Source organism: Homo sapiens, chromosome 8, assembly GCF_000001405.40.
Source record: "Homo sapiens chromosome 8, GRCh38.p14 Primary Assembly".
NCBI classification, from domain to species: domain Eukaryota; kingdom Metazoa; phylum Chordata; class Mammalia; order Primates; family Hominidae; genus Homo; species Homo sapiens.
Genome location: NC_000008.11, coordinates 121646820 through 121659002, shown reverse-complemented (window position 1 = coordinate 121659002; position 12183 = coordinate 121646820).

Here is a 12183-nt window from a genome sequence, read left to right as displayed (position 1 = left end):
AGCTCATTTTGTGAGGCATTACTCTGATACCAAACTTAAAGGAATCACAAGAAAAAAAAGGAACAACAACTATAGACAAATATCCCTGATGAATACAGATGCTAAAATAGCCAACAAAACATAGCAAACCAGCCAGGCATGTAATCCTCGCACTTTGGGAGGCCGAGGTGGGTGGAACACCTGAAGTCAGGAGTTCGAGGCCAGTCTGGCCAACATGGTGAAACCTCGTCTCTACTAAAAATATAAAAATTAGCCGGGCGTGCTGGCGTGCACCTGTAATCCCAGCTACTCGGGAGGCTGAGGCAGGAGAATCACTTGAACCTGGGAGGCAGAGGCTTCAGTGAGCCAAAATCATGCCACTGCACTCTAGCCTGGGTGACAGAGCAAGACTCTGTCTCAAAAAAACAAAAACAGAAACAAAAAAAAATAGCAAACCAAATCCCAAAATAAATTTAAAATATTATATACCATGATAAAGTAGGATTTATCCCTGGGATTCAAGGATAGCCCAACATACAAATATCAATTAATGTGATATACCACATTAACAGAATACAGAAAATAAACCACATGAGATAAATCATATCATCTCAATAGATTCAGAATAAATGTTTGACAAAATTCAACACCCTATCACAATAAAAAGTCTCGACAAAGTCGAACCAGAAGGAAATTACTTCAACTTAATAAAGGACATTGATGAAAAGCCCAAGCTATCACCATACTTACAGGTGAAAAACTGAAAGCTTTTCTTCTAAGATCATAAAAGATCAGGAACAAGCCGGGATGACTGCTCTTACCACTCCTATTTAAAATAGCACTACAAGTCTTAGCCAGAGCAATCAGGCAACAAACAAACAAATGGGAGCTAAATGATGAGAATTTATGGACACAAAGCGGGGAACAACAGACACTGGGGCCCACCTGAGGGTAGAGGGTGAGAGGAGGGAGGAAATCAGAAAAAAATAATGTAACTATGGGGTACCAGGCTTAGTATCTGGGTGACCAAATAATCTGTACAACAAACCCCTGTGACATGAGTTTACCCATATAACAAACCTGCACATGCACCCCTGAACCTAAAATCCTATATAACAAACCTGCACATGCACCCCTGAACCTAAAATCCTGTATAACAAACCTGCACATGCACCCCTGAACCTAAAATCCTATATAACAAACCTGCACATGCACCCCTGAACCTAAAATCCTATATAACAAACCTGCACATGCACCCCTGAACCTAAAATCCTGTATAACAAACCTGCACATGCACCCCTGAACCTAAAATCCTATATAACAAACCTGCACATGCACCCCTGAATCTAAAATCCTATATAACAAACCTGCACATGCACCCCTGAATCTAAAATCCTATATAACAAACCTGCACATGCACCCCTGAACCTAAAATCCTATATAACAAACCTGCACATGTACCCCTGAATCTAAAAGTTAAAAAAAAATACAAATCAGAAAGGAAGAAGTAAAATTGTTCCTGTTTGCAGATTATATGGTCTTATATATATAAACTAAAAACTCCATTAAAAAAACTGTTTAATAAATAAATTTAATATAATTGCAGGATATAAAATCAACAGCAAAAAATCAGTTGTCCTATATACTACCAATGCATTACGTGAAAAGGAAATTGCGGGGGCTGGGTGCGGTGGCTCACGCCTGTAATCACAGCACTTTGGGAGGCCGAGGTAGGTGGATCACGAGGTCAGGAGTTCAAGATCAGCCCCCCGCCCGGCCAGCCACCCCGTCCGGGAGGTGAGGGGCACCTCTGCCCGGCCGCCCCTACTGGGAAGTGAGGAGCCCCTCTACCCGGCCAGCCGCCCCATCCGGGAGGGAGGTGGGGGGTCAGCCCCCCGCCCGGCCAGCCGCCCCGTCCGGGAGGTGAGGGGCACCTCTGCCCGGCCGCCACTACCGGGAAGTGAGGAGCCCCTCTGCCAGGCCGCCACCCCATCTGGGAGGTGTACCCAACAGCTCATTGAGAACGGGCCATGATGACAATGGCGGTTTTGTGGAATAGAAAGGGGGGAAAGGTGGGGAAAAGATTGAGAAATCGGATGGTTGCCGTGTCTGTGTAGAAAGAAGTAGACATGGGAGACTTTTCATTTTGTTCTGTACTAAGAAAAATTCTTCTGCCTTGGGATCCTGTTGATCTGTGACCTTACCCCCAACCCTGTGCTCTCTGAAACATGTGCTGTGTCCACTCAGGGTTAAATGGATTAAGGGCGGTGCAAGATGTGCTTTGTTAAACAGATGCTTGAAGGCAGCAGGCTCGTTAAGAGTCATCACCACTCCCTAATCTCAAGTACCCAGGGACACAAACACTGCGGAAGGCCGCAGGGTCCTCTGCCTAGGAAAACCAGAGACCTTTGTTCACTTGTTTATCTGCTGACCTTCCCTCCACTATTGTCCTATGACCCTGCGAAATCCCCCCTCTGCGAGAAACACCCAAGAATGAGCAATAAAAAATAAATAAATAAATAAATAAAAAAGAAAAATACCAAAAAAAAAAAAAAATTTAAATGTAAGACCCAAAACTATAAAACTGGAAGGAAATTAAGAGAAAAAGCTTAGTTTTGAGGATGACATCATGGATATAGCACCAAAAGCACAGGTAAAAAAAAAAAAAAATAAATAAACATAGAATTACATCAAACTAAAAAGTTGCTTCATAGCAAAGGAAACTAACACAGTAAAAAGGCAACTTGTGGAACAGGAAAAAATATTTCTAAACCATATATCTGATAACGAGTTAATCTCCAAAATATAGAGAGAACTTCTACAACTCATTAGTAAAAAAACTAAAATGCCAATTAAAATATTAGCTAAGGACTTGAAGAGACATTTTTCCAAAGACATACAGGCTAACAACGATATGAAAAAAATGTTCAACATCACCATTCTCCAGGGAAATGCAAATCAAAACTATACAATAGCATCTCGTACCTGTCAGGATGGCTATTAACAAAAAACAAAAAACAAATATTGCAAAGATGTGGAGAAACTGGAATCCTTGCACACTGTTGTTGGGAATGAAAAATGTTGCAGCCACTATGAAAAGTAATATGGAGATTTTGCCAAAAAATTAAAACTATAATGTATTTCAGCAATCTTACGATTAGGTATTTATCCAAAAGAATTAAAATCAGAATTTTGGCCAGGCACAGTGGATCATGCCCATAATCCCAGCACTTTGGGAACCCAAGGTGGGAGGATCACTTGAGCCCAGGAGTTTGAAACCAGCCTAGGCAATGCAGTGAGACCCCATCTCTATAAATTGTTTGTTGTTGTTGTTGTTGTTGTTGTTGTTGTTTATTAGACAGGTGTGGTGATGCATGTCTGTAGTCTCAAGTACTCAGGGAGCCAAGGTGGGAGGATCCTTTGAGCCCAGGAGTTTGAAGCTGCACTGAACTATGTTTGTGCCACTGCTCCAGCCTGGGCAACAGCCTGTGCAAATGTAGAAATGGAAATCAGAAAGAACAAGCAGAAAACAAAAATTTAAATGGCAGGCTAAAGCCCTAATATAATAATAACATTAAATGTAAATGGTCTAAATATATTGATTAAAAGACACAGATAAGCACATTGGAATAAAAAACATGACACAAGTATATGTAGTCTATAAGAAACTCATTTCAAATATAATGATACAGGCATGTTGAAAATAAAAAGATGGAAAAAGATATACCATGCAAACATTGAAAGAAAACAGGAGTGACTGTATTAATATTACCTAAAATAGATTTCAGAGCAATGAAAATTACCATACACCAAGAAGTACATTATATAATAATAAAAAGGTCAATGTACCAAGAAAACAATAATTCTAAATATGTATGCATCAAACAACAGAACTGTAAAATCTGTGAAGGCAAAACTGGCAGAATTGAAAGGAGAAATAGACAAAGTCACAATTATAGTTAGAACTTCAACAATCTCTCTCAACAATTGAGAAAAGAACTAGAGAAAAAAATCAGCAAAATAATAGAACTCAAAAACATCAAAATAATAGAACTCAAAAACATCATTAACCAATAGGCTCTAATCAACATTTATAGAACACTCCATCCAGCAGGAGCAGAATATATTCAAGTACCCACAGAACATACACCTAGAGCCGGGGGCGGTGGCTCGCGCCTTTAATCCCAGCACTTTGGGAGGCTGAGGCAGGTGGATCACCTGAGGTCAGGAGTTCGAGACCAGCCTGGCCAACATGGTGATACCCCGTCACTACTAAAAATACAAAAATTAGTTGGCCATGGTGGTGCATGCCTGTAATCCCAGCTACTCGAGAGGCTGAGGCAGGAGAATCGCTTGAACCTGGGAGGCGGAGGTTGCAGTGAGCCAAGGCCGAGTCACTGCACTCCAGCCTGGGCAACACAGTGAGACTTCATCTCAAAAAAACAAACAAACAACAACAACAAAAAAACCCATACACCTAGAAAGACATATCGTGGTTCATAAAACAAACCTCAAAAAATTTAAAGGAATTGAAATTATAAAGAATCTGTTTTCTGACCACAATGAAATCAAACTAGAAATTGATAACAGAAAGAGCAGAAAGGCACCAAACATATGGAAACTAAACAATTACATTTTAAAATAATCCATGGGTCAAAGAGAAAGTATTAAAGTACACTTAAAAACACACTGAACTGAATGAAAACAAACAAAAAAAAAATCCCAGCATATCAAGATATGTGGGATATAGCTAAAACAGTGCTGAGAGGGAAATTTTTGGGCTACATACTTATATCAGAAAAGGGGAAATGTCTAAAAAGCTATGAGAATTTTAAAAAATACCTAGCTATTAATTTAGGTTTTCTTATATAGTCTTATAATCCTAGTTGCTATTTCATTCTACTACTACTAGTTTGCAACTGTATTTGACTATGAGACCAAAAAAAGATATTGCTAATTGGCAAAGTGAATAACAAATCAATAAGTATAAAAAACACATAAGCCTCTACTATGTAGTAGCAGTGGTAGAATAAGGTAACACTGATATTAAATTACTATCCTGGATTTCCTTTGGTGTATATTACCTGTCATTTCCAAATTTCTACTAGTTTTTTCTTAATTCATTATATTTTGTTTGCTTAAAAAAAAATCTGTTTGGTGAAAAAAAAAAATAGACTCATGAATGTATTGTATTTGTGTTAGCCAGAATAAAATTCTGTCTCTTGTTTCCAAGTAAGCTTGACACATTTATATTCATTGTAACTGCCATTATAATTGGATTTACTTTTACCTTCTGGTTTCATATATTCTATTTATCATACAATTATATTTGTGGAAACAAAAATGACATTTTAGATTTGTGCACTTCACATACCTCATACTGATGGCTCATATGATACTAATTTATGACCAGAAGACCTGTTTATAAATACTGAGGACCTAAACAAAAGAATGATACATGAGCTAGAGAGGGGAGATTGGATTTGAAAAATATTTAAAGGTAAAATTAAAATGATTTGATTGTTAATCGAATGAGGGAAGTAGCAGACGAGAAGCTAATCTCTAGCTGGGAAAACTTAGTAAATGTTGGCACTATACAATAAATGAAGTAAAGTTATACCAAAAATCCCATTCCTCTCTCTACAAGTACTGTCCCTTCAGGGCCCTCTCTGTGGGAATTTGGAATTACAATGAGCTATGATCACACCACTGCACTCCAACCTGGGCAACAGAGCGAGACCCTGTCTCTAAACAAAAAAAAATATATATATATATATACGTATGTATGTGTGTGTGTGTGTGTGTGTGTGTGTGTGTGTGTGTGTGTATTTTGTGTTATTTTTAATTTTTTTGAGATAGAGTCTCACTCTGTTGCCCAGGCTGGAGTGCAGTGGCGTGATCTCAGCTCACTGCAACCTCCACCTCCTGGGTTCAAGCAATTCTTCTGCCTCAGCCTCCTGAGTAGCTGGGACTACAAGTGTGTGCCACCATGCCCTGCTAATTTTTGTATTTTTAGTAGAGACAGGGTATCACCATGTTGGCCAGGCTGGTCTTGAATTCCTGACCTCAGGTGATCCATCTGCCTCAGCCTACCAAAGTGCTGGGATTACAGGCATGAGCCACCACGTGTGGCATGTATATATGTTTTAATATATGTGCATGTGTACATATATATGTGTGTAGGTGTACATATATGTGTATATGTGTATATATATATACACGTAGACACAAACATACATGCACATATGTTGCAAACTTGACATATATATACACATCAACCCAATAGCAAACTTGACATATATATGATTGTATATATGTATATATGACATATATATACACACACACAATTGCAAAATGATATATATATGTACACACACATAACTATAAAAGATGATGACTATGATGTGAAAGTTAGTCATGGAGTACTGTCAGAGCTAAGAGACAGAGAGATGAGTTAGAATACTGAAGTGGACAGAGATGGAAAAAGAGTAGTTTAGACAGAAAGAGTAGTTTGGGACTGAGAGGTATTGTAATGAAAATGTGCACTAACTTGTTTAATATCATGTACTGTAAACAAAAAAGTTTGCAATTAGGTTGGGAAGTTTAAGGTCAGATCAGACTAAAGAGTTTGGAGGACAGGAGTCCACAAAGAATGGTGCAAGGGGGCCTGATTGCTGGAGTTGTGGATGAGCTTCAATGTGCAAGCTAGGATTTTCAAGGCATGTGTGCAAAGTCCATCATGTTATGGGATGTGGCCGTAAGTGGAGAAAAAAGAGGCATGGGCTGACGGCCAGAGGCAGGAGACTGGTACCTGGGTGCTGGTGGCTGCTAGTATGTTCTCCTTGCACTGTGGTTCTGGCATAGTATGCTGAAGCATTTGAGAATTCTAAATTTCAAATTGGCCATGCAAAGTTTTTTGTCAAAGTAGGAAGAACTAATTTTGGCAAATATTTTGCCAACTTGTTTTCTAACTATTAGGCATTTAGGCATATGGCATATGAGCCACTGTTAGTATTCTTGTGCGGAGCCCTGCAAATGCTAATGACAAGACTTGTGCCTGGACTACAGTAAATGCTTAATAAACTTTTGGTGAATGAATATGCAGCAACAGTGAACATGATGGCTCAAAATAAGGAGAGATGGCCAAAAGTAGATCAAATTGGCCGGAATTTCCAAGAGGTGAAGTCTTCTGCTAGGGTTCTAATGTGATAGCAGTATAAATTCAGTTATTTGGAGGAGAGTTAATAAGTCATGTCTCAATTATTATATTTAGAATTTTTTTTATTTTATTTAGAAATTTGAATTGAATGAAAACATCAATAAAAACAAAGGTATCCTTTCTCTTTGCTCTAAAACAAAGGTGTAAAGACTCAGTTTTAGCTAACTATTTATTCTCAGACACTCCTAGAAACTTGTCAAAAGCCCTGGCACAAAAATTCAATTTGGCCTGAATCTCTGACCTACTACTGTGTGTGACCTGGATGGGTCGCTTGACCTCCTCGCACCTCAGATCATTCATTTGGAGGCATGCGATGAAGCAAGGGTATGCATGGAGTTTCACCGTGTTAGCCAGGATGGTCTCGATCTCCTGACCTCGTGATCCACCCACCTTGGCCTCCCAAAGTGCTGGGATTACAGGGGTGAGCCACCGCACCCAGCCAAAAACAACTATTTCGAAGAAATATTTTAAACTTGTCTTTTAAGCCTTTTGAACGTGGAGCTTCCTATTATTTAAGTAGACATGGTGAATAACGCGTATAGTAAATTCCTTCTAAACTACATACTTACAGCTGATACTTAATTAGTACTTTAAAGGGATTTTCTTTAGGAATTAAAAATCACATTTGTAGCTCGTAAGCCTTCAAGAAGTCTTGACCAGCTTTTTACAGTTTTGAATTCTGAGCATAATATAGAAGTATACAATAGCAGGAAGTCTACCAGAATAGAAGAAATTGAAAATCTTCATTGTAACCAAGGAGCAAGTTCTTAGGGATGAGTACACATGTCATCTTTCAACCTAACAGTGTTTTCAACAACACCCATAATTATGCAAACATTTGTATCTTGCTTATCAGAGCTTTCAAAGGATAATTTTATTTACTCCCCACAATGAACTTCTCTTACTACCATGTCTATTTCATAAAGAGAGAATATAAATACAGAGAAACTGAGGCTTAGAGAGATTGAGCAACTTTCCCAAGACCATGCAGATAGAAGTGTGAGGGTGCCCCAAATCGGTAGTTCAAGTCTAAAACCCTCAATTTTATACTTGATATTGTCTCACCTGTAACAGAAATCACTGGATTAATGTGCCAGCAGATAACCTATTGATTACATAAGCCTCAGGGTGTTCAAGACAAACATACTGTCATTAAAGAGAAAAAAAATTGGAATTTACAATCTTATTCTGCAAAAATAGGCATTGTTACTGTTTTGTTATCCAATTAGAGTTAAGGACACAAATATAACTTTAAAGAGGTATGTGTAAAAAGCTTAGGAAACTTGTGTTTTCATCTACAACACCCTCCAAAGTAGAAGTTCCCAAACTTCCGAGTTTGTATAAGAATGACCTGGGGAAGTTTTTTCAAAGTAGATATATTCCCAGAACCACTACTGTAAATTCTGATGAGTTAGGTCTGGGGTTTGGACACAAAATTTATATTTTTAACAGCAGCCAAATCATTGCAATGGAGGCCGCTCTCGGACCACTTTGAGAAGTACAGCTTTACATTCCTTTTCACCTCTGATTCTTGAAGCCACCTGGCTTTTCAAAACAAACAATTTGCTTAATTAGAAGCCTGATAAATTTGGTGTGAACAAACAACAGGTGCTGTTTGCAAGAGATGAGTCAGGAACAAAATCAAACTAGGTCCTGGTTCTCTGCCTACACATAATATATAGTTGGAATCATTGAACACTAAGTTCTCAATCCGGCACTGATCTGGATTGAACTTGGAAACCTTAAAATACTAGAAAGAAAATGCTATGAGAGAGAACACACCTATAATTCACAAAAATATAATGTATTTGGTAAGCTTCTCAATTGCTTGCTTTCATCCTCAAGTTACCCTGCTATGGCTTCCATGGTAGGCAGGATGTGACTAATACCTGGAGTTGCACTTCTTAATGGCATTATTAGGACTGCTAGTGACAGTACCAGCCCTGGAATTGGAATAATTGCATTATTAGGACTGATAGCGACAGTACCAGCCCTGGATTTGCAACTGGAATGATAATTCTACTAATTGGGTCTTGGAGCTAACACCTCTCTTGGATAAAGGTAGGAAGTCTCACTTTACTGAATTGGTTTAGGTCCCCTCCACCCCGACAAGGATTTCAGCCACCTGTGTGTGTGAACAACAGGCTTCGTAATTTGAAAACTTGGAATAGAGTTTGGATTTTCTTATTCTCCTAAAAAATATAAAATCAGGTGTCAATACCTGGGAAAAGGGAAATGTAATGGATTCTTGAAAAATCTTTTATTCCCAGTTTCTTAGCTTTCTCCCAAATGACTAAGATTTCTTTAGTTTGATATTCTCTCTCTCAAATTGATGCATCAAAAGAAAATTAGTGTAAATCATTAGAAAAAAATTAAAGTTGGCTTAACTTTTTTCTCCCTTTGTCTTCTTTTTAAATTTGTAAGTACTCTGAAGCTTGGGAACTTCTCCTTTAGGGATGTTGTAGATGAAAATACAAGTTTCCTAAGCTTTTTACTTTCTAATTAACTAGGAAGATTTTGGATTTCTTAGTCTTTCCAAAGACCGCACAATATTTCTATTGGACAAGAGGCTTTTTAATCTGTCCATGAACATGCCTGAGGGATGGCAGTTTGTAATGTCCCCAGAATTGTGAGAAAATTTTCAAATGCATATTTATTAATTTGGGAACAGAGTCACTTTTTATCCCAAATTATCAAAGAAGATTCTTTTATCTAGAAAAGCTGAACAACTACACGCTCTAATAAGAAACAAGTCAGTCTCCAGAAATTAAGCACATCTTTTTGGGGTTTAAAAAAGCTGGAGGCCAGGCGCAGTGGCTCACGCCTGTAATCCCAGCACTTTGGGAGGCCGAGGCAGGCGGATCACCTGAGGTCAAGAGTTCTAGACCAGCCTGGCCAAAATGGTGAAACCCCATCTCTACAAAAGTACCAAAAAAAAAAAAAATTAGCTGGGCATGATGGCAGGTGCCTGTAATCCCAGCTACTCAAGAGGCTAAGGCAGGAGAATCGCTTGAACCTGGGAGGCGGAGGTTGCGGTGACTTGAGATCGCGCCATTGCACTCCAGCCTGGCAACAAAAGCGAAACTCCATCTCAAAAAAAAATAAATAAACAAATAAATAAAAAGCTGGAAAGCTTGTTAAGCTTTTCAGGAATAAGATAAAATGCCATATGATTTCCAAGGAAGATTATTTCTATAATGTAGATCTTAATCTGTTTCCCCCATTGAGATTATTAGCAATTGCTATGGACACACACACATATTTTAAAATCTTATCTTTAGGGATTACAATTAAGGCCATTAAAATGTTAAAGGACGATTAGATTACAAACCTTCCCCTTGAGTAGCACTTTCTGCTATTGTTGTTTTGTCCTGTAAAGCACAAACTTTTCTTGACAGAAGTTGCTAACTTTTAAATTAAGGATAGTTTTGTCCTTTTCTATAATCTGGGTCCAGAAAAATACAACTGATAAACATGTTATTTAGGCTATGTAAGATAACTTTCTGCCCTTAGATCTGAAACACACATGAATCTGGAGATAATTCTTAAGATTTAAATTGTTCAATAATATGAAACTTTGCTCCTACATAATTATTCAGCGATATAATGTAAAGTTCAAAAATACAGGACTTTCTTTTTCAGTAAGTGATCCAGATGGCTATGTTTGATGATTTTGTTGTCAATCAGATCACAATTATTGACCTTAAATACTTTTGAATACCTACCTACCATTTAGGGTACAGCTTTAGTCATATAATATTTTAAAGCTAATTTCCTCATCTGTGGAAAGGACTATCGAGAGATGATTATAAAGAGTTTTCCATGACTTTTGGATTTTTGTTCCTTTCATTTCCACTTTGAAAATCCTTAAAAAATAACTCAAGCCAGGCGCAGTGGCTCACGCCTGTAATCCCAGCACTTTGGGAGGCCAAGGTGGGTAGATCACCTGAGGTCGGGAGTTCAAGACCAGCCTGACCAACATGGAGAAACCCTGTCTCTATTAAAAAATACAAAATTAGCCAGGTGTAGTGGCACATGCCTGTAATCCCAGCTACTCGGGAGGCTGAGGCAGGAGAATTGCTTGCACCCAGGAGGCAGAGGTTGCAGTGAGCCGAGATGGAGCCATTGCACTCCAGCCTGGGCAAAAAGAGTGAAACTCCATCTCAAAAAACAAACAAACAAAAAACTCAAATAATATTCAGGGTCTAATTTGAAAGGATCAAAGATTGACAAATTACTACTCTGATATAGTGAAATCTTCAAAAACTACAATGATAAATAAAATGATCTTCCTCTATCTATATCAATGAATCAATGAGTATTTTAATCTCTTCCAATCTGTTCATTCCAATTTCTTGAGTGTCTGATAAATGCTTAGATCTCCGTCTCTTCACATTTTAAAATCTAGTGACCATCATTAATACAGCCATACCATCTTCAAAATTTTCTCCGCATTAATTCTAGAGCCATGGGAGTTCAGCCTTGGAATTAACACTAAAAGGCAAGTAGTCCAATTTCTATGAGATGCTGGAAATCCCTTTGCCTCACGCAAACTGGAAATAGAAAACTAAATTTCAGGTTAATTCTTTCCCATCTTTACACAGTCAGACTCCATCATTTGCAGAGCTGAAATATGTTTGTTTTAATCCCCAGTGGTATACAGACAGTCTTGGGATCATAGGGCATATGCTAAATCTCACATGTGTATCCAAGGCATATAAGTTTCCCAGTGTCTCTTGCGTCCTCTGAATCTTCTGTGTCATACTAAACATTACTAGTTCCTATAGCCATGCATCGTGAAACAGAGTTGCTATCAATATTCCTGTTCTTATTGCTAGGTATCTTCTCAATGTGCAAAAGTTTGTCTATATTCTCAAAGTAAAACAATCAGATTTGTACACTACTGCATTTGGTATGCTTAATACAAACCAGTATTTTCTAATGTGGTTTGTAGATATTTGGGGGACCCTGAAGCCCTTTCAGGG